This window comes from Homo sapiens, chromosome 3 (genome assembly GCF_000001405.40).
Source record: "Homo sapiens chromosome 3, GRCh38.p14 Primary Assembly".
In the NCBI taxonomy this organism is placed as follows: domain Eukaryota; kingdom Metazoa; phylum Chordata; class Mammalia; order Primates; family Hominidae; genus Homo; species Homo sapiens.
In genome coordinates, this window is record NC_000003.12 from 191,212,767 (window position 1) to 191,235,502 (window position 22,736).

General features: G+C 37.3%; 1 protein-coding gene and 1 long non-coding RNA gene across 3 annotated transcripts in view; one reads left to right on the forward strand and one right to left on the reverse strand.

Annotated features, from left to right (window-relative positions):
• Positions 1–22,736, forward strand: part of OSTN (osteocrin) — a 66,375-nt gene that overhangs the window by 13,526 nt on the left and 30,113 nt on the right. For both annotated transcript variants that reach the window (NM_198184.2, XM_017006303.3), the window contains exon 3: positions 5,981–6,195. In NM_198184.2, coding sequence (NP_937827.1) covers positions 5,981–6,195 — 215 coding nt within the window. The remainder of the gene's footprint in view (positions 1–5,980; positions 6,196–22,736) is intronic.
• On the reverse strand, positions 525–21,839 carry OSTN-AS1 (OSTN antisense RNA 1). The gene is made up of 6 exons (NR_133663.1): positions 21,806–21,839; positions 17,000–17,131; positions 15,949–16,016; positions 6,050–6,170; positions 4,304–4,413; positions 525–574 (listed from the first exon to the last, which is right to left on the reverse strand). It is a non-coding gene; the product is annotated as an OSTN antisense RNA 1 (long non-coding RNA).

The window sequence follows — 22,736 nt, forward strand, 5'->3', positions numbered from 1 at the left end:
TATCATATATTTTATATAGAATATATATTTTATAAATATAATGTATATATTTATATATTACATATATATTCTTTTGTAAACGTTTCCTTTTCTTTTCTTTCTTTTTTTTTTTTTTTTTTTTTGAGACAGAGTCTCACTCTGTCGCCCAGGCTGGAGTGCAGTGGTGCAATCTCAGCTCACTGCAACTTCCACCTCCCAGGTTCAAGCGATTCTCCTGCCTCAGCCTCCCAAGTAGCTGGGATTATAGGCATGTGCCACCACGCCCAGCTAATTTTTGTATTTTTAGTAGAGACAGGGTTTCACCATATTGGCCAGGCTGGTCTTGAACTCCTGACCTCGAGATCCGCCCGCCTCAACCTTCCAAAGTGCTGGGATTACAGGCGTGAGCCACCACGCCCGGCCTATTTTTTGACTCTTTTGTAAACATTTCATTTCTACTAGAGTAAGAAGGAGGTGCAGCTACCAATAAGAAAATGTACACAAAATAAAATAGAGAAATAACACAAAATCAAGAAAATCGGTAGTTTTTTATTGTCTTCTTTTTATTGCCAACATGCCATTCAAGGTTGTGAACCTGAAATGAAAAGAGCAGTAATCACGATCTTCTCCTCACAGAGGAGTCGGAGCAAGCCAGTTATCTAAACGTGGAAAGAAACTTAAGAACAAAGACTTGAATTCCTTGAACAAAAAAAGCTTTAAGAGAAAATCCATTATTATAGCTATATTTAATTGAATCAGTTATGTCAGAATGAAGGGCTTTTATGTAAAATTTGAAGTTGTTTGCATGCCAAAATTTGAGTAGTTTTGTTCAAACTTTTAATTACAGTACAAATATTTTCTTGGTGCTATGACTAAAGTACAAAGAAAAAGAAATGTGAGGGCATCACAAGGAGAAAAATTAGTTTATTTGATCTTATTAGAAACATGTTCTTTGTGTTTCTTAAATAGCATAAAGTGAGAGTCTGAAAAGCATTATATTAAAGGACAAGTTTTCTAAAAGTTTTTTTTTTTAAGATTAAGGATGTTTCTTAAAAAAACGATTGTGTAGTGTGTGTTAGTTGGAAGAATAAAAGCATATTTTTGGAGGATGCTTGGAAAGATAAAAAATTCTTTACCCTTTGAAGGTTTATCTCCTGTAGGGTTTCTTTCTGGTCATTTGCATCCTTCCCATCTCCAGTTTCTATGTTATCAGGCTTATATAAGGAAGTGACAGAAGCTAAGATCTGAGGAATAGTTTGAAACCATATTGTGGGATTTGTGCTATAAGTAATAAAGAACTGTGAAAGATTTGTAATTTTCTTTTTATATGACAAAAGTGGTATTGGGGATAACTAACTTTATAACAGTATTATGGGTGAAATAGAGAAGAGAGAGATTGGAGGTATCAAAGCAAATTGTAAGGTGATTAAGGGAGTACACTAAGCAGTAAAGAGGACTTCATTTAAAGTCACCACTTGGATGACCAGAGGTCAAGAGTTGGAGAAGAGTCTGGCCAACATGGTGAAACCCTCTCTCTACTAAAAATCCAAAAATTAGCTGGGGGTAGTGGTGGGCGCCTGTAGTCCCTGCTGCTTGGGAGGCTGAGGCAGGAGAATCACTTGAACCTGGGAGGCAGAGGTTGCAGTGAGCCAAGATCGCACCAGCCTGTTAACAGAGTGAGACTCCATCTCAAAAAAAAAAAAAAAAAAAAAAAAAACAGCAACAAAAAACCACCACTGATGGGAATCAAAAATAGCAGCCAGAAGAGAGATTGTCCTGCAAGAACTGACGAGACTTAGGGCACATATGACTGTATAAGGAAACAGGAGGCTCAATAGCTTTCAGTTTGTACACCAGGCTACAAGTATTTTAAAAGAGACTTGCTTGAGTCAATGATTAAAGGGCTTGAAAATGCTACTCTTTTGTTCTACTGGAGAAAATGAAGAGAACAGAAAAATGTATTAGTCCATTTTCATACTGCTATAAAGAACTACTTGGTCAGGTGTGGTGTAATCCCAGCACATTGGGAGGCCAAGGTAGGTGGATCACTTGAGGTCAGGAGTTCAAAACAAACCTGTCCAACATGGTGAAACTCCATCTCTACCAAAAATGCAAAATTAGCTGGGTGTGATGGTGACCACCCATAATCCCAGCTACTCAGGAGGCTGAGGCAGGAGAATCACTTGATCCTGGGAGGCAGAGGTTGCAGTGAGCCGAGATCAAATCACTGGACTCTAGTCTGGGCAACAGAGTGAGACTTTGTCTCAAAACAACACAACAAAAAACTGCCCAAGACTAGGTAATTTATAAAGGAAAGAGATTTAATTGACTTATAGTTCTGCATGGCTGGGGATGCCTCAGGAAACTTACAATCATGGCAGAAGGTGAAGGTGAAGAAAGGCATATTCTTCACAAGGTGGCGGGAAGGAGACTGAATTACCAAACATTTATAAAACCACCAGATCTTGTGAGAACTCACTATCATGAGAACAGCATGGGAGAAATTATCCCCATGATTCAATCACCTCCACCTGGTCTCTCCTTTGACATGTGGGGATTATGGGGATTACAATTCAAGATGAGATTTTTGGTAGGGTCACAGCCAAACCATATCATTTTGCCACTTGCCCCTCCCAAATCTCAGGTCCTCACATTTCAAAACACAATCATGCCTTCCCAACAGTCCTCCAAAGTCTTAACTTATTCCATCATTAACCAAAAAGTCAAGTCCAAAGTTTCATCTGAGACAAGGCAAGTCCCTTCCACCTATGAGCCTGTAAAATCAATAGCAAGTTTGTTACTTCCTAGATTCAATGGGGGTACAGACATTGGGCAAATAAACCCACTCCAAATGGGAGAAATTGCCCAAAACAAAGGGGCCACAGACCCCATGCAAATCAGAAATCCTACAGGGCAGTTATTAAACCTTTGGAGATCATTCCAAAACCATTTCCTTTGACTCCATGTCTCACATCCAGGTCATGCTGATGCAAGAGGTAGGTTCCCATGGTCTTGAGCAGCTCTGCCCCTGAGGCTTTGCAGGGTACAGCCCCACTCTCAGCAGCTTTCATGGGCTGGCATTGAGTGTCTGTGGCTTTTCTAGATGCACAGTGCAAGCTGTCGGTGGAGCTATCCAATTTGGGGCCTGGAGTACTGTGGCCCACTTCTCACAGCTCTACTGGGCAGTACCACAGTGGGGATTCTGTGTCAGGGCTCCGACCCCACATTTCTCTTCTGCACTGTCCTAGCAGAGGTCCTCCATGAGGGCTCCACCCCTTTAGTAAATTTCTGCCTGTACATCCAGGTATTTCCATACATCCTCTGAAATCAAGGCAGAGGTCCCCCAAACTCAATTATTTACTTCAATGTACCAGCAGGCCCCCAAACATGTGTAAACCAGTGTAAACCACCAAGGCTTGGGGCTTAAACCCTCTGAAAGAATGCCCTATCTGTATGTTGGCCCCCTTAGCCACAGATGGGATGCAAGGCACCAAGTCCCAAGACTGCATAAAGCAGCAAGGCCCAGGGCCTGGCCTATTAAACCATTTTTCCCTCCTAGGCCGCTGGGCCTGTGATGGGAGGGGCTGCCATGAAGACATCTGACATGCCATGGAGACATTTTCCCCATTGTCTTAGCAATTAGCATTTGGCTCCTAGTTACTCATGCAAATTTCTGCTGCTGGATTAAATTTCTCCCCAGAAAATGGGTTTTTCATTTCTATTGCATCATCAGGCTGCAAATTTTCCAAACTTTTTGCTCTGCTTCCCTTTTAAACATAACTTCTAATTTCAAGCCATCTCCTTGTGATACATAAAACTGAATGCTTTTAAGAGCACCAGCTCATATTTTGAATGCTTTGCTGCTTAGAAATTTCTTCTGCCAGATACCCTAAACCATCTCTCTCAAGTTCAAAGTTCCACAGATCTCTAGGGCCAGGGCAAAATGCTGCCAGGCTCTTTGATAAAGCATAGCAACAGTCACCTTTGCTCCAGTTCCCAACAATTTCCTCATCTGCATCTGAGATCACCTCAGCCTGGACTTCATTGTCCATAAAACTATCAGCATTTTGGTAAAAAATATTCAACAAGTGTCTAGGAAGTTTCAAACTTTCCCACGTCCTCCTGTCTTCTTCTGAGCCCTCCCAACTGTTCCAACCTCTGCCTATTTCCCATTTCCAAAGTTGCTTCCACATTTTTGGGTATCTTTATAGCAACACCCCACTCTCTTTGGTAACAATTTACTGTATTAGTCCATTTTCATACTGCTATAAAGAACTGCCCAACAGTGTGTTATTTATAAAGGAAAGAGGTTTAATTGACTTACAGTTCTGCATGGCTGGGGAGTCCTCGTTAAACTTACAATCATGGTGGAAGGCAAAGGGGAAGCAAGGCACCTTCTTCACAAGGCAGCAGGAAGAATGAATGCAGGAGGAACTGCCAAACACATGAAACCAGCAGCTCTCATGAGAACTCACTCACTATCCCAAGAACCACAGGAGAGAAACTGCCCCCATAATTCAGTTACCTCCACCTGATCTCTCCTTTGACATTTGGGGAGTATGAGGATTACAATTCAAGATGATATTTTGGATGGGAACACAGCCAAACCATATCAAAAGACAATAGAAGGAATAATCTTAGAAGAAAAACAGAAAGTGAAGAAAACTCAAAACCAAGACCAACAGTCTGGCACATGGAAGAATGACTAAAAGTGGGAAGGGAAGAGATTCCCCAGAGCTAAAAAATTTTTCCCTCATGGGAATATTCTCACGATCTTAGAAAAAAAAGCAGTATTTGTGGGACTACAGAATGACTCAAGATTGTTAATAGGAGCATTTAAGAAATGCTGCCATTGGGCCTCAGAGAGGAAAAGACAGACTTCACAAACTGGACAGCTATACATTTATGATTTGGATGAAGTACAAAGTGGCAATATGTGTAAGAACCAAACAAGAAATTTTACATGGGGCACAAAGTTATTGGGATATCTCAGACACATTGCAGATGCTAGTATTTGTTAATAAATCACAGGGATAGAGATGGTGAGATGCTTAGAAACAGAGACTAAATTTTTATTTTTGTATCCTTCATGTCCAATGCAGAACCTAGCACACACTGGATTAGTAATGGCTTGAGTTAGTAAATGATGAATGAATGGTAAAAAAAAAAATAGAATGAGATTTGGTTGGGAATTCATTTAATAAATATTCATCAGAAATTTGTTGAATACTATGAGCAAAATACGAGATGAAGCATTAAATAAAGTAAATGAAAGACTAATTAGACAAAGTCATTGACTAATAACAAGTACAAATATACAGTAACCAACCTGGCACAAGGCAAAAAATAATAAGTGCAGTGATGAAAGAGGTATATAGATAAAGCACTATGGGAATGATAAGGAAGGATGAAGTTGTTGCTGAAACAGAATCTGAAAAAATGATCCGTAAATATGCTAAATTTTAAAGCATTCCAGGAGTTTTTCTTTTCTTTTCTTGTTTTATTTTTTCCCTTCGTTATACCCCTCTACTATGTGTTTCAGTCCCCAAAGATCTAGCACTCTCTATGGAAAATAACTTCATAAGAAATTCTAAGGCCAGGTGTTGTGGCTCACACCTGCAATCACAGCACTTTGGGAGGCCAAGGTGGGTGGATCACCTGAGGTCAGGAGTTCGAGACCAGCCTGGCCAACATGGTGAAACCCCATCTCTACTAAAAATACAAAAAATTGGCCAGGCATGATGGCAGGCGCCTGTAATCCCAGCTACTTGGGAAGCCGAAGCAGGAGAATTGCTTGAACCTGGGAAGTGGACATTGCAGTGAGCCGAGATCACGCCATTGCACCCCAACCTTGACAACAAGCACAAAACTTTGTCTCAAAAAAATTGTAAGATGTTACATGATGAGTATGTCAGCTAACAGTAGCAAAAGCCAGATGCATATGTACATACTTGGAGTCTCTTTGTCTAAATTAACGGAATCGCCTTTCTCTGCCTTATAGGCCTTTGATTCTGGAGTCATAGATGTGCAGTCAACACCCACAGTCAGGGAAGAGAAATCAGCCACTGACCTGACAGCAAAACTCTTGCTTCTTGATGAATTGGTGTCCCTAGAAAATGATGTGATTGAGACAAAGAAGAAAAGGAGTTTCTCTGGTTTTGGGTCTCCCCTTGACAGACTCTCAGCTGGCTCTGTAGATCACAAAGGTAAACAGAGGTAAGTGAACTCAGAAAAAGAAAGTTTTTATTTTCTAATTATTTCCTTCTGGATTCTAAATCTGAGAGAATTCCACATGAAAAATACAGTGAAAACCTTGTATATATAAACAGATTTGACGGTATGTTAGCTAATCTGTAGGTTTAATAATACAGTTTTCTAAGTAACTGTTTAGGGAGCAAAATGACTGCCGCAGTGTGCCTTAGCATTTTTGTCATGTTTCCTAAGAAAGATTCTGTCTTATGCAGATATAAAGCAGTTATTATAAGACATTACTGCATTTGGGAGGTGGCGCAAAATGTATGCTCAGTGGCATAAATGTTCTGGTGAACTGAGTTTTCCATTTACTAGAGGTAACAGGAATACCCTTTGGTTTTTACCTGTGATGCAAACCGTTCCACATTGTGTGAATGAATCTGAGTGACAAGTTCTCAGAACGTGGAGTCAGAACGCATGTGTTTCTGTCAAATTTCTGTTTCTTCCTATGTGACTTGTAAAGTATCTTATCCTCTCTGATCCTCAGCTTATTTATGCATAAAGTGAGAATAATTACTTGCTTCCATAAAATTCAAATGAGATAATCAAATGTAAGTGCTTCATAGAATGCTAATTACGGATTTAGAGTAGTGAAATATCCCTTTATGTCAGTAATTTAAAGTAATCATTCCAAACTTAGTTCATTTTCTACCCCTTCAATATCTGTTCTTCATACTGTACATTTCATATTAGAAGTGGCACAAAAGACCACACAAGTACCATAGACAGGAATCTGGGAAATTGACCAAGATTCCTTTAGCTCATCCTGAACATTTCTCACTAAATTCTCTAAATACTGTTTGCTTTACATATTAAATATCTCCAGAATATCACTCTTCATTAAGGCTTTTCTAATTCTGGCCTAAATTATTAAATTTTTTTAACATTTATTCTTTCTCCACTCTTTCCTCATCTCTACCTCCACCACCATCATCACCCCTTTATCACCAACGTATCCTGTACTCGGCTAGCAGGCTAATCATCTAAAACAAAAGTCTGTGTGAAATGTTATCCATTGCTTACAGTACAAAAGTCAAACTCCTTTGCAAGAGCTACAGGGAATTTCATAATCTGGAACCTCATTTCTTCTTGTACTCATTTTCACATCCTTTGCCACCATCTTTCTTAATTCTTAGAGACCTGGGACTTTTCATTCTTGTTCCTGGTTCCCTGGTTTTTTATGCTAAATGATTATCAGGATACTTGTCGCAATTTGCTATACCTCTGTTCTGAAAGATTCTCAAAGCTACACTAGAAAATAAAATCATCATTTGAAGACCATACCTTATACTACATGTATGTGAAAAATAATCCTCTCCTATATTTTGAAATTTAGACCCTACTTTAACTAGAGAAATAGAAATTAGTTCCACTATGTTCTGGGTACTATGTTAGGTTCTGGTGAAAAAGAGGAGAAAAATATAGTTTACATACCTCAAAAAAAATCACATACTAATTGATAACATAGTATTATTTATAACAAATTGTAATACAAGAAATGATGAAGAGAAAAGAGAATGCTAGTACACTGTTAGTGGGAATGTAAATTAGTATAACAACTATAGAGAACAGTTTAGAGGTTCCTCAGAAAACTAAAAATTGAGCTACCGTATGTTCCAGCACCACCACTGCTGGGTAAGTATATCAAAAATAAATATATGTTTAAAAACTAATCTAAAAAGAAGAACATCGGCATCCAAAGAATAGTTGAGCTTTTAGAGAAGAAAATATGGTGCCTTCTAATAAATGTTATTTATTTGGCTCCTGGATATTTCAACATGGTCAACTAAATAATCTATAAATCAATATATAAATGCTGTACATAAATATTTATAAATTTATTATAGCATAAATACTATAGTATACTAAATATACACTGCGTAAATACTATATAATTTACATTGAAACTTCACCACATGATATGGTTTGGCTGTGTCCCCATTGAAATCTCATCTTGAATTGTAGTTCCCATCATCTCCATGTATCATAGGAGGGACCCAGGGGAAGGTAATTGATCATGGGTGTGGTTACCCCCGTGCTGAAGTTCCTGTGATAGTCAGTGAGTTCTCACGAGATCTGATGGCTTTATAAGAGGCGTTCTCCCTTTCGCTCTGCTCTTCTCCTTGCTGCCACCATGTGGAGAAGGACATGTTTATTTCCCCTTCTGCCATGATTGTAAGTTTCCTAAGGTCTCCCCAGCCCTGTGGAACTGTGAGTCAATTAAACCGCTTTCCTTTATAAATTTCCCAGTCTCAGGTATGTCCTTCATACCAACATAAGAACAGGTACCACAGAGAGTGGGGTGCTGCTATAAAGACACCTGAAAATGTGGAAGCAACTTTAGAACTGGGTAACAGGCAGAGGTTGGAACAGTTTGGAGGGCTCAGAAGAAGATAGGATAATATGGGAAAGTTTGGAACTTCCTAGAGACTTGTTGAATGATTTTAGCCAAAATGCTGATAGTGATGTGGTCAATGAAGTCCAGGCTGAGGTGGTCTCAGGTGGAGATGAGGAACTTGTTGGGAAATGAATTAAAGGTCACTCTTGCAATGCAAAGAGATTGATAGCATTTTGCCCCTGCCCTAGAGGTCTGAGGAACTTTGAACTTGAGAGAGATGATTTAGGGTATCTAGTGGAAGAAATTTCTAAATGGCAAAGTGTTCAAGAGGAAGCAGGGCATAAAAGTTTGAAAAATTTGCAGCCTGATGATGCAGTAGAAAAGAAAAACCCATTTTCTGGGGAGAAATTTAATCCAGCAGCAGAAATGTACATGAATAACTAGAAGCAAAATGCTAATCACCAAGCCAATGGGGAAAATATCTCCAGGGCATGTCAGAAGTCTTCACAGCAGCCCCTCCCATCACAGAGCCATAGGCCTAGGAGGGATAAATGGTTTCTTGGGCCAGGTCCAGGAACCTGCACTTGGTAACCTGCTTCCCAGCCACTCCAGCCTTGGCTAAAAAGGGCCAAAGTATAACTGGGGCCATGGTTTCAGAGGGTGCAAGCCCCAAGCCTTGGCGGCTTCCACATGCTGTTTTACCTATGGGTGCACAGAAGGCAAGAATTGAGGTTCGCCAACTTCCACCTAGATTTTAGAGGATGTGTGGAAATACTGGATGCCCAGGCAGATGTTTGCTGCAGGGGCAGAGCCCTCATGAAGAACCACTACTAGGGCAGTGCAGAAGGGAAATTTTGGGTTGGAGCTCCCACATAGAGTCCCCACTGCCTAGTAGTGTTGTGAAAAGAGGGCCACCATCCTGCAGACCCCAGAATGGTAGATCTTTTGCTGTGCACCTGGAAAAGCCACAGACATTCAACACCAGCTCGTGAAAGCAGCCAAGAGGGGATGACCTGGATGTGAGACATGAAGTCAAAGGAGATTAATTTGGAGCTTTAAGAATTTACTGCCCCACTGGATTTCAGACTTGCATGGGGCCTGTAGCCCCTTCATTTTGACCAATGTCTCCTATTTGGAACAGGTGTATTTACCCAATGCCTGTCCCCCCACATTGTATCTAGGAAGTAACTAATTTGCTTTTGATTTTCAGGCTCATAGGCAGAAGAGAACTGCCTTGTCTCAAATGAACTTTGGACTTGGACTTTTAGGTTAATGCTGGAATGAGTTAAGATTTTGTGGGACTGCTGGGAAGGGATGATCATGTTTTGAAATGGGAAGATATGAGATTTGGGAGGGGCCAGGGATGGAATTATATGGTTTGTCTGTGTCCCCATCCAAATGTTGTCTTGAATTTTAGTTCCCATGATCCCCTCGTGTTATGGGAAGGACCAGTGGGAGGTAATTGAATCATGGGGGTGGCTACCCCCATGCTGCTGTTCTCATGAGAGTGAGTGAGTTCTCATGAGATCTGATGATTTTATAAAAGGCTTTCCCTCCCTTTTGCTCTGCACTTCTTGCTGCCACCACGTGAAGAAGGATGTGTTTGCTTCTCCTTCTACCATGATTGTAAGTTTCCTGAGGCTTCCCCAGCCCTGTGGGGAATTAAAATTAAATTAATTTAAATTTAAAATTAAATTAAAATTCTTTCCTTTATGAATTACCCAGTCTCAGGTATGTCCTTCATAGCAGTGTGAGAATGGACTAATAAACCATAATAATTTCTTTAGAAAGTACCATAATGAGAAACTACCTAGGTGATATAATCTATCTAGCTAGCTATCAAATATAGCTCAGCTTGCAAGAAAAAAGGGGAAATTAGCAAGCGTTTAATAGCCATCTGAACAGATTTTCACGTATGAAAGCTACAAATAAGCCATTATAAATATGCAAAAATTTAGGGAATATTCCTTCCATGAGCATATCCTGAGGAAGCTAATACATGAGTTACCTTGGGCAAGCCAAATGGCTGGGGAGATATCACCATTAGAATTAGGTGTGAGCATTAACTTTAAAAGCAAAGTAAAATGATGGTAGCAAGAAAGAGAATGTGTTATAGTACACGGTTTGAAAAAACAGATACAGCACAACCATCAAACTTTCAGGTAAAACGTGATAGTACATAAAATTTGGAATGAGTATTTGATTGCTTCACGGCTATTAACTGAAAATAAAAAATTATTACAACAAATAGATGCTTGGGGACTGAAGAAGAAAGAAAACATTACAAACTGAATTTTATAAATCTTGTACTAAATAACAATAGACAAAAACTGAAAACAGAGAGGTGCAAGATTATTATATAAAAATATTAATACAAAAATAATCATAAGAATAAAAACTAAAATTTCTCTATGAAAAAAAGCACGATAAAATAGAATACAGAGAAATCCTGTATGTAATAAACTCATATGTAAGTTTTAAAATATGATTTAAAAATCTATTATATCAATAAATGTGGATGGCTATAACTTGCCTATTAAAATGCCAGTGTTTTCAGACTTGCTGATAAAGGAAAATAAAATACTTTTCTGTATTTGAGAGATGCAATTAAAAATAACAAGATTTAGGATGGATAATAGTAAAAGAATGAACAAACGATACCAGAAAAAAAAATAACTTAAAAATGAAAAACAGTGCAACATCATTTACCAAAGAGAAACTACAAAGAATGCCAGAAAATAGAAAGAAATGTATTAATAAGGCCGGGCACCATGACTCATGCCTGTAATCCCAGCACTTTGGGATGCTGAGGCGGGCAGATCACCTGAGGTCGGGAGTTGGATGCCAGCCTGACCGACATGGAAAAACCCCGTCTCTACTAAGAATACAAAATTAGCCAACCATGGTGGTGCATGCCTGTAATCCCAGCTACTTGGGAGGCTGAGGCAGGAGAATCACTTGAGAATGGCAGCAGAGGTTGCAGTGAGCCAAGATCTCACCATTGCACTCCAGCCTGGGCAACAAGAGTGAAACTCCATCTCAGAAAAAAAAAAAAAAAAGAAACATATTAATAATAGAAGAGCTTAATTAATTGTTTAAAATCCAAGACCGATTATATATTCAAAATTGATAGAAGATCTACACAACATAACTCATAAAATATACATTATAAATCTGTTTTGAACTTTGGACTACAATAATAGAGAATATAACTTATTTTCCAGTGAATATGGAACATTTATAAAATTTACCATATCTTAGGTGACAAACAAACCTTAGGATATTCCAAAGAACAGATATATTACAAAAACAATCACTAACTGAAATATAGTAAAACTAGAAATTAATAACAAAATCAAAAACAAGAAGACAGTCTTACCTGGAAAATACAAACCATGTCATTTACTATTTGGTTAAAGAAGAATACCAAATTTTATTTTTGCATTTTTATTTTGTATTCTTACACACTTTATTGAAAATAATAATAAAAATACAATATGATGGGCAGAAAAGAAAATATTAGATACAAACTAGCATGATAGTAATAAAAAAATACAAATAATGCAAATATTACAGCAAAAAAATGTAGAAAGAACAGCAAAGTAAACCAACATAAGCAGAAAAAAAGCATAAGGTAAAAATTAACAATGATGAAAGCTGAAATCAGTAAGTTTATAAAGCACAACATAAAATATAATAAATCAATGCAAAGCTGCTTTTATTATATCAACAAAAAGACAAGCCAGGCTTACTTAAGAAAAAAGTAGAAAGTAAATTTACAAAATTAGAAATGACAACATGGAAATAGTCATTACAAAAGAAGAACTTGAAAAATAGGAAACTACTATGCTCAATTCTCTATAAACAAATTCAGTACCTTTAAAAATGAATAAATTGTTAGAAAATACAACTTATAAACATTGGTTCAAATAGATACACTCCAATTACCGTTTCTTTAAAGTTTATTTATTATTAATTTTATTTACCGTTTTTATTTAATTTGCCAACAGAAGTACCAGATTCAGATATTTTCACAGGAGAATTTTACCAAATCTTAAGCTATCAAATAATTTCAATAGTACTTTATCTTTTCAGAGAATATTTTTTTAAAGGAAATTTCCAAATTCCTTTCCTGAAACAAGTGTCATATTGACTCCCAAATCACCAAAAACTACATTTAAACAAGGAAATCATGTTTATTGCAGCACTATACACAATAGTAAAGTCATGGAATCACCTAAGTGTCCAATAATGGTGGACTGGATAAAGAAAATGTGGTATATAGACACAATGGAATACTACACAGCCATAAAAAAGAAGAAAATTATGTTCTTTGCAGCTACATGCATGCAGCTGGAGGCCATTATTCTAACTGAATTAATACAGAAACAGGAAATCAAATACTAGATGTTCTCACTTATAAGTGGAAGCTAAACAGTGGGTACCCATGGGCATAAAGAGGAAAACAATAGACCCTGGAGGCTACAAAAGGTGGAAGGGAAGAGAGAGGAGTTGATAAACTACCTACTGAGTATTATGTTCACTATATAGGTGATGGATTCACTAAAATCTCAAACCCCAGCATCGCCCAATAAACCCATGTAGCAAACCTACACGTACATACCCTGAATCTAAAATAAAATATTTTTTAAAAATACTTTGTAAAAGAATAAAATGTATTTCAAATAAATAAATAAGAAAATTTTAGGAGCTTCAGTAGTGCAATTGGTTAGTGTGCAGTACTTACAAAACAGGAAGCATTAGACTTATCTCATATATGAATATCGAGACAAAAGTCATAGATAAAATGTTAGCAAATAGAATCCAACAACACTTTTAAAAATATAATGCATCTTGACCAAGGGGGGTTTATTCCAGGAAAGTAAATATGATTTAATATTAGTAATTATTTAATGTAATCTTTCATATTAATACAACAATAGATAAAAGTCATATGATTATATCAATAGGTGACAGAAGAGGTATTTGACAAAATCTAATATTTATTAATGTCTAAGAAAGTGCAACAGAATAAGAACTGAGAAACACTTTTTAAACATGATGTACATGTATGTGTGTGTTTGTATTTTAGCCCAAAAGCCAATATCTTATTTAATGGTTCAGGCACATACTGTGTTCTTAAGTCAAAAGACGCAAAAGCACAAACATATCAGCTCCACTTAAGTTAAATTACAAACTTAACACAATTCTAATAAAAAGTGCCATCAGTGTTGATTACAAAGTTCATTTGAAAGAATAAAAGCTGGCATAGCCACAAAAACTCTGCAAAAAAGAGCCCTACCAGATATTTAAAACATTATATAGTCTTTTTTTACAATAGCATTGCCCATAGATAGATCAGAAGAGAAATTCAATAAATAGACTCCATTTCATATGCAACTTTAAAATGTATAAAAAGTAGCATCTCATATTAGTAAGTAAAAGAATATAGTTTGAATAAGTGATGTTGGGATATGAGTAAAAAGATTCAATTAATTCATTCTCAAACTATACATTATGATAAATTCTAAATGCATCAGAGATTTGATTGAAGAAATAGATGACCCCACATAGGTATTAGAAGAAGACATTGTTGGAAGTTCTACATAGAGAAGGAATAGAGAAGCTCTTCTAAATTCAGACGTAAAATTTGAATAGAAAAAATAAGGAAAAAATTAATTACATATTTTAAAGTTATCATGACAAAAGATACCATAAAACAAAGTAAAAACTCAAAGAATAAACTGGAAAAAATGTTTATGACTTATATCAAAGGGTTACTATATTTAATAAAGAACCTTGAAAAATAAAGAAGAAAAAGAACAAACTGTAGAAAAATGGTGTAAAAACAGTAGTCAATTCATGAAAAAAATGCAAATTGCCTTTAGCCATGTGAAAAGATGCATAACATTCTTGTTATAAGAAAAAAGTGCACTATGATTTTACTGATATACAATTCCTCACCTGATAGACTGGTAAAAAATGGATTTTTGAAAAACCAAAATAATTACTGAGGCTATGAGAAAAAGGCATTCCCACGTGGTGCTGATTGGAGTGCAAAATGGAACCCACATGGAGGGGAATATGGCAATATCCAGCATAGTGCATGTGTACTTACTTTTTGGCCCTGCCTTCCTCCTATTTCTAGATATCTCTGCCAAATATATACTAGTAAAAGTGTGTTTAGAAGACGAAAGCACGCATAAGGCTATTCATTTTAGAACCATTTTTATAAACTTTTTATTTAAAAAATAAAATTATAAACAAAATACAGAAAAATTTTGACACCTGTGATAACAAAGAAATGACTCTTAAAGGCAGTTTGTCGTTCTGGGGGAACGACTGTTTTTCTGAGGAGGCTTACTGCATCCTTTAAGTGAAAAGTGGTGTTGACAGACGACCATCTGGGCATTAGGGTTGCTAATTTCGCTTGGATTAGTGATTGTTTTTAGGAATTTTAGTGCACAGACTGAGTCATGAGTGCATACTGATATTCAGGAACATAAATATATGCTAATATGAATTTTTGTGGACATTTTGAAATCATGCCATATCAGGTGTTATAATTTTATTTAACACGTTCAACTTATAACTTTATTTCATTTTTTCCATGCCACGAATCCCCTTTCTTATTTACACCAAGAATGACAGAATCAGATTATCAAATAAATACATATTTGCTTTATTTCACAATGCAAACTCAACTATCTCAGAATAGCAATACCAAGATTATCACTAGCAATACGATTTTTCAAAATGGTTTGTAATTGATGATCTTACTGATGCTCAGATTGTCATACTTTAGCTAATCAGAATGTCCTCAAATTGGCTCTTGAGTTCTTTTGACCTGAAATTAGAAATAATAAGCTTCCTTGCTATCAGGTAGGACAAGATATTCAAGCTCACTTTGCACATTTTCTGCCCCAACTCTGCCTGGGGGAACAAAATCATGAGTTTTATAAAGAAATATTATTGTGCAAAGGAGGAATGTAATATTTAAGGTTCATTTTCAATGGGCATTTGGCATTGACAGAAAAAGTGTTTCTGTGTATACATTCAACATTTTGCAGCATATTTACATTTAAGTTACATTTCCAAATTCTACGCCAAATACAGTCTAACTCACCATCAAAAATCCCTCAGATATTACTAAAATCCTGTTTATTTGGTAGGAGTGCAGTATTATCTTATTAGAAAATAATTTTATGTTCCTGCTAGATCAACTGTATTTTTACTACTTCAACAAAATTTACTGACATTTTCTTCCCAGTAGAATGCATTAAATCTGTTTAAATCTATGACTGAAAAATCTTTAGAAAATACTAGTTATCAGTTCATTGCTTTTGAAAACATATAAATGAAGAGGACATTAAACCTACCTTTCTTATGTGAGCTTCACCACTAACAGTAGAGGAGGTGGAATTTTCTCTTTATAGAATTTTTCCATCTAAAACAATCAAGAAATTGTGGAATTAGTAAACGAGGTAGAAATTTCTCTTTATACAATTATTATGGCTAAAAAATGATAGAATTAGAAAATTTCTATTTTGCAAACCCTAATGAAATGATGGATCTAGACAATTGTCATTAACTGTTGTTAGCATCACAAGAAGAAAACAGCAAGTCATTATATGCCTCCTGGTAATAGAACCCAGCACTACCTGTAAAACAGTATTGCCAAAAACAGTCTTGTCTCTAGATCTACACCTACCAATTTTCAGGAAATGTGAAAGACAGAAATGAGTTCAGAGACACTACAGGGATGCAAATAGCAAAATCCAGACTGTGGGAAACTACAGGACAAATAATCCAGTTTCTTCCATAAATAAATTACAGCGTTTGAAGAGATTAGAAAGGAGATGGAAAGAGAAGGCGATTCTGAAGACTAAAGTAGAGGGATTTATTAACCAGTTAAAATGTTTTATGTGTCCTGATTCAAACAATAATCCTTTTAAAAATTAATACAGGTAAGAGACAATTGTGAATGTGAAGAGTAACTATTTGATGATGTTAAGTAACTATTATTTACTTTAAAATATGAAATGGTACAGACCTTAAAAATGAGAGGGATACCTCAGTTAAATATTTAAACATGATTTTTAAAAAAATAATACAGGAGTGGGAGTGGAACGGATGAAGTAAGGTTTACAATAAATTGATAATTATTGACTTAGAATGATGTGCACATGGGAGTTTGTTATACTATTCTATTTTGTCATATGTCTGAACTATTTTATAATAAATTCCTTAAAAAACTAAGCAATCAGATAAACAGCAGATTAGACCTAGTAAAAGAGTAAATAAATTAATCACATAATAAGGCCAAGAAAATGACTCAATATGTCAAAAACATGCGAAGAATGCAATGAAACAAATTAATGTATAGTTTAATAAGAACTTTATGGGAACAAATAAAAGAGAAATAATTACCATTTAAATAACTTATGGGCCGGGTGCAGTGGTTCACAGTTGTAATCCCAGAACTTCGAGAGGTCAAGGCGGGTGGATCGCTTGAGGTCAGGAGTTCGAGACCAGCCTGCCCAATATGGTGAAACCCCGTCTCTACAAAAAATACAAAAAATTAGCTGGGCATGGTGGCGGGCGCCTGTAATCCCAGCTACTCGGCAGGCTGAGGCACAAGAATCACTTCAGCCCAGGAGGCAGAAGTTGCAGTGAGCCAAGATCGCAGCACTGCACTCCAGCCTGGGCAACAGAGTGAGGACTCAGTCTCAATAAATAAATAAATAAATAAATAAATAAATAAATAACTTAGGATATTTTTTCAATACTTTTCAAGAAATAGTGAAAACATTTTCAAATTCAGTAATTATAACACATTTTGACACACAAAATTAGTGTCCTTTCTGACAGGTTAAGTGGGATTATTCTGCTATGAGAAAATCATGTGGGAGATGGCTTAGGGGCTTAAACATTAAGGGCACATTCTTGGCTGGGCACGGTGGCTCACACCTGTAATCCCAACACTTTGGTAGGCAGAGGCGGGCAGATCACCAGGTCAGGAGATCGAGACCATTCTGGTCAACATGATGCAACCCTGTCTCTACTAAAATACAAAAAATTAGCTGGGCATGGTGGTGGGCGCCTGTAGCCCCAGCTACTCAGGAGGCTGAGGCAGGGAAATCGCTTGAACGTGGGAGGTGGAGGTTGCAGTGAGCTGAGATCGGGCCACTGCACTCCAGTCTGGTGCCAGAGCAAGACTCCGTCTCAAAAAAAAAAAAAAAAAAAAAAAAAGACACATTCTTAAAAGGGCTAAGTAGCATGAGAACTCACTATCAGGTGATAAGAATAAGAAATGGGACAAGAAATGAAATTGGGAAGGAGAGTTGGGGTCACAAAGGAATGTTGCATTCTGCAACCATTCATATTGCTGCCCTCTGGAACGTGCAGTGCAGAACCCATATAACGTTAATCAACATCCCTGGAGCTAGATTGCAAAGGTTTCATCCAATGCTGTATAAAGCAAGAAAAGAATTTAGTAAAATAATTGATGACCCTAGGAAATTAAAAATGAACTATTTCTTTTCCTTTTTTCTCTCCTTTACCTTCACCTCCAACTATTTCGAGAAGTTTGGCAGTGTTAAGGAGCATGAGGCATTTGCACAGAAGCTCATCTACGGGCTTCGGAAGTTGAGAATCCCTCCGAATGCATACTCTTTAGTCTTCTATATTTTTATTTTTTATAGTTGATAATTTATGCATTCAAGTTAAATTCCAAGGACACTTCCTCTGAGATTTTTTGGCAGCATTTTTTTAAATACAGGAATTCCTCTTTTTGTTCTGAAAGCAAATCTGAAACTTGTTTTGTATATTCCAGAAGTAGAAAACAATGAAAGACAAATAATAGTTATTGCATAAAATATTTCTATAGACATTTCTGAGTTTTAGTTAAAAACAATTTCAGACTTATTTTGAGGTGTAATGATACTTCAAACATAATACAGTGTTAAAATTTTCTGTCATCTGTTACCAAGGCTTCAGCGTCATTAAAAAAATCACACATATATATATATATCACATATATATAAACCACAAGACTAAAATGTGACGTATTTAGTAACAAGAATGTATAGCTTGCAATTTTGCAAACTTTTCATAAAAATAAAATTTTATAAAAATTATAATAATTTTGCTTAGGAGAGCTGTACTGAGGGTTATTTACTGCTATTTTTTCAAATTCTATGAGACAAGAATTTTACTGCTTCCTTATGTGTTGTTAGATCTTTCACAAGACCAGGAATTATTTGTTAGTGTTATACGCATGAGTGTGCACAAAAACTTCATGAGTTTCTTATAAATGTCTGCGATTTTCATGTATATGCCCTCATGTTTTTCCCCTTATCAGGCACACATTCTCTATCTTCCCATACTTACTAAGAGAAGGTAATACATCTGAGATCCATTTTCCATACTCTGTGCTTAAAGATCACATACATCACTTAATTCAGGGATTCATAAACTTTGTGTCATATGTCACTATGGCAATTTGGGGAAACCTATGAACCCCTTCTCAGAGTATTGTTTTTAGAGTGATAGAATTTATGAGTTCAAAGGTTAGCCACTGTTTAGAAACAGAATTATCAAAAACAATTTTTTAATTAATTTGCAATAAAACATATACATAAAATATTTTAAATATTATATTTATTAATACCTAAAATAAGATGTAAAGATATGTCTGCAAACAATAGCTGTGGCTGGGTGCGGTGGCTCATGCCTGTAATTCCAGCACTTGGGGAGGCCGAGGCAGGCAGAGCACCTGAGGTTAGGAGTTCGTGACCAGCCTGGCCAACGTGGTGAAATCCCGTCTCTACTGAAAATACAAAAATCAGCCAGGCGTGGTGGCACTCAACTGTAATCCCAGCTACTCGGGAGGCTGAGGCATGAGAATCGCTTGAACACGTGGGAGGCGGAGGTTTCAGTGAGCCAAGATTGTGCCACAGCACTCCAGCCTGGGTGACAGAGGGAGACTCTGTCTAAAAAAAAAAAAAAAAAAAAAAAAAAAAAATTGTTGTAACTAGTGCAGAACATAACCATTTCAAAGCATCTGTGATAATTAAAATGTGCTTTGAAAGTATTTGTGATTTATATGAGTAACAATGTTCAGACACAACTATTACTATTATTTTTTTCTATATTCATAAAGTAAATGCTATATATATATATATAAAATTATGTTTATTTTTATTTTTATTTTTTGAGATGGAGTCTCACTCTGTTGCCTAGGCTGAAGGGCAGTGACTAAATCATTTTTTTTTTTTTTTGAGACGCAGTTTTGCTCTTGTTGCCCAGGCTGGAGTGCAATGGTGAGATCTCGGCTCACTGCTCCCTCCACCTCCCAGTTTCAAGTGATTCTCCTGCCTCAGCCTCCCAAGTAGCTGGGATTATAGGCATGGGATTATAGGTGCCTGCCACCACACCTGGCTAATTTTTGTATTTTTAGTAGGGACTGTGTTTCTCCATGTTGGCCAGCCTGGTCTCGAGCTCCTGGCCTCAAGTGATCTGCCCACCTCTGCCTTTCAGAGTGCTGGGATTACTGGTGTGAGCCACTGCGTTCGGTCATAAATGCTATCTTTCATTTACAGGTTAATGGAACTAAAGATGTAACCCTTTCCCATCTACACGTATAGGCCCCTGAATTATATTGCTCCATAATCCCAGATTTTAAAACTCTGAGTCACCAGGGTACAAAACATATTATTTAATTCTATATTACTATAAAATATCAGAAAAGAAAAAGGAAATTAACTCTACTTTCAAAAAGGTCCACCAGGAGATGGAAACAAAAAAATTCATGAAAGCTAGGGAAAACAAAAATGAAAAGAAACAAATATAAAAAGCTAAACAGGGAAAACCCTATATCAGGTCATATTAACTTGAAATAAAGAACCACCTGTTGTTTCCTATTTTGTATTGCTTAACACATTTTTACCTGAATAGGACACTAGCTTCATTTTCTGATTCATGTGCAAATTACTTCAATTCTCCGGGCAACACTAACTCAACTATACTTTGAAGCCCAAAATATTTTTCTCATTTCCATTCACTTGTTTAAAGTCTGAAGTTACCATTTTATTTCTGTTTTCTTTTTTTCGTTTTTTGAGACAGAGTCTTGCTCTGTCACCCAAGCTGGAGTGCAGTGGCAAAATCTCAGCTCACTGCAACCTCCACATCCCGGGTTCTAGCGATTCTCCTGCCTCAGCCTACCAAGTAGCTGGGACTCCTGATCTCAAGTGATCTGCCTGCCTCAACCTTCCAAAGTGCTAGGATTACAGGCATGAGCTACCACGCCCTGACTTTTTTCTGGAAGAATAGTATCTACTATCTGACTGACTCTTTAACATTAGAAGATATTGACGGCCAGGCACTGTGGCTCATGCCCTTAATCCCAGCACTTTGGGAGGCCGAGGCAGGCAGATCATCTGAGGTTGGGAGTTTGAGACCAGCATGACCAACATGGTGAAACACCATCTCTACTAAAAATACAAAATTTGCTGGGTGTGGCGGCGCATGCCTGTGATCCTAGCTACTTGGGGGCTGAGGCAGGAGAATCACTTGAGCCCAGGAGGCGGAGGTTGCAGTTAGCTGAGATCACACCATTACACTCCAGCATGGGTCACAAGAGCGAAACTCCATCTCAAAAAAAAAAAAATTGATGATTGGCCTAGAATTTTTCTAAATAATGGTTTCTCTCACTCCTTCACACAACACTAAAAATGTCTTGCAAATAATAACAATAATAGTGCTCTATATTTGAATTCAATTACTATTAAATATTTGTACAACTCTTATTGCTTTAATTCTCCCATTTAATATTTTAGGTCAGTAAAGCAAGAAATGCTATTGGGTTAGGGTTCCAACAAGAAATAGGTGTCACCTTTGAAATAGGAAAATTTGAGGAGGGTTTTTTCAAAGGAAGACTATTTACAAAACTCTGGGTACAGGTAGATTATAATGGATGGCACAGCAGCCCACGGTGGCCTGAAAAGACAAGAAAGGAAGAGGTTTCCAAAAGTCAGAGAGTCACAGAGTTTCAGATGCCTTGAGAAAAGTAGTGACTTGGCCGGGTGCAGTGGCTCATGCCTGTAATCTCAGCACTTTGGGAGGCCGAGGCAGGTGGATCGCCTGAGGGTAGGAGTTTGTCACCAGCCTGGCCAGCAAAGCGAAACCCCGTCTCTACTAAAAATATAAAAATTAGCTGGGTGTGGTGGCACGCGCCTGTAATCCCAGCTCCTTGGGAAGCTGAGGCAGGAGAATCGCTTGAACCCGGGAGGCAGAGGTTGCAGTGAGCCAAGATCACGCCATTGCACTCCAGCCTGGGCAACAGAACGGGACACCATCTGAAAAAAAAAAAAAAAAAAGCAAAGCACAAAAAGAAAAGAAAAGTAGTGACTTTTCTTCAGGAGCATACTCCCGGGAAGAGGTCTTGCAAGGAGTGGCCAGGAGAAAATTATCCTGACCTCTCTCCTCCTCTTCCTCTATTCTGTCTTCCCCAAATTATCTATTGCTTGATCCACACCAAAGCCAGAGGGCACAGGAACATTTATATGTTCCAAAAAGATCAGCCTCCTAGGACTGAAAGTAGGGTGAGAAAAGGCAGCATACATCTGAGAGCAGAGGGAAGATAGCCAGCAAAATTATACACATTCTGTAGATTTAGGTCAAGAAACACTTTGCTCCAGAATATTGTTATTATACCACCTAATTGAAAGAGAAAAACTCCATAAGTCATAATCAGAAAAAACAGCTTTTCCTCCCATCCCCATGCATTCCAACCCACTCAGTGGTAGTTGTTGTTCCCTACCCCTTGAGTAAACCCAAAGGCAGGTATTAATGGCTCTACTGGCCACATCAAAATAATAAGAATCCCTATGGTTACTTGTACTAGAAAAATAACCATATAACAGTAATTCAAATAACCATTCTTATATGTGACCCCAAACCATGAATACTAATAAAGCTTCTCTTTTCCCTAGCTTGGACCCCATTCATCCTGGAAGGCTTCAGTGGGAAGGAGCTTGTGGCCAGTTTATATTCACAATCTCCCCTATCACAGTAGGCTGCCTTTTGTCTCCTCCAGAACTGGGGATGGAGATGCATGCAGAGAAGTAAAACAAAGTCTTACTTGACATAATATCATGACCTGTCT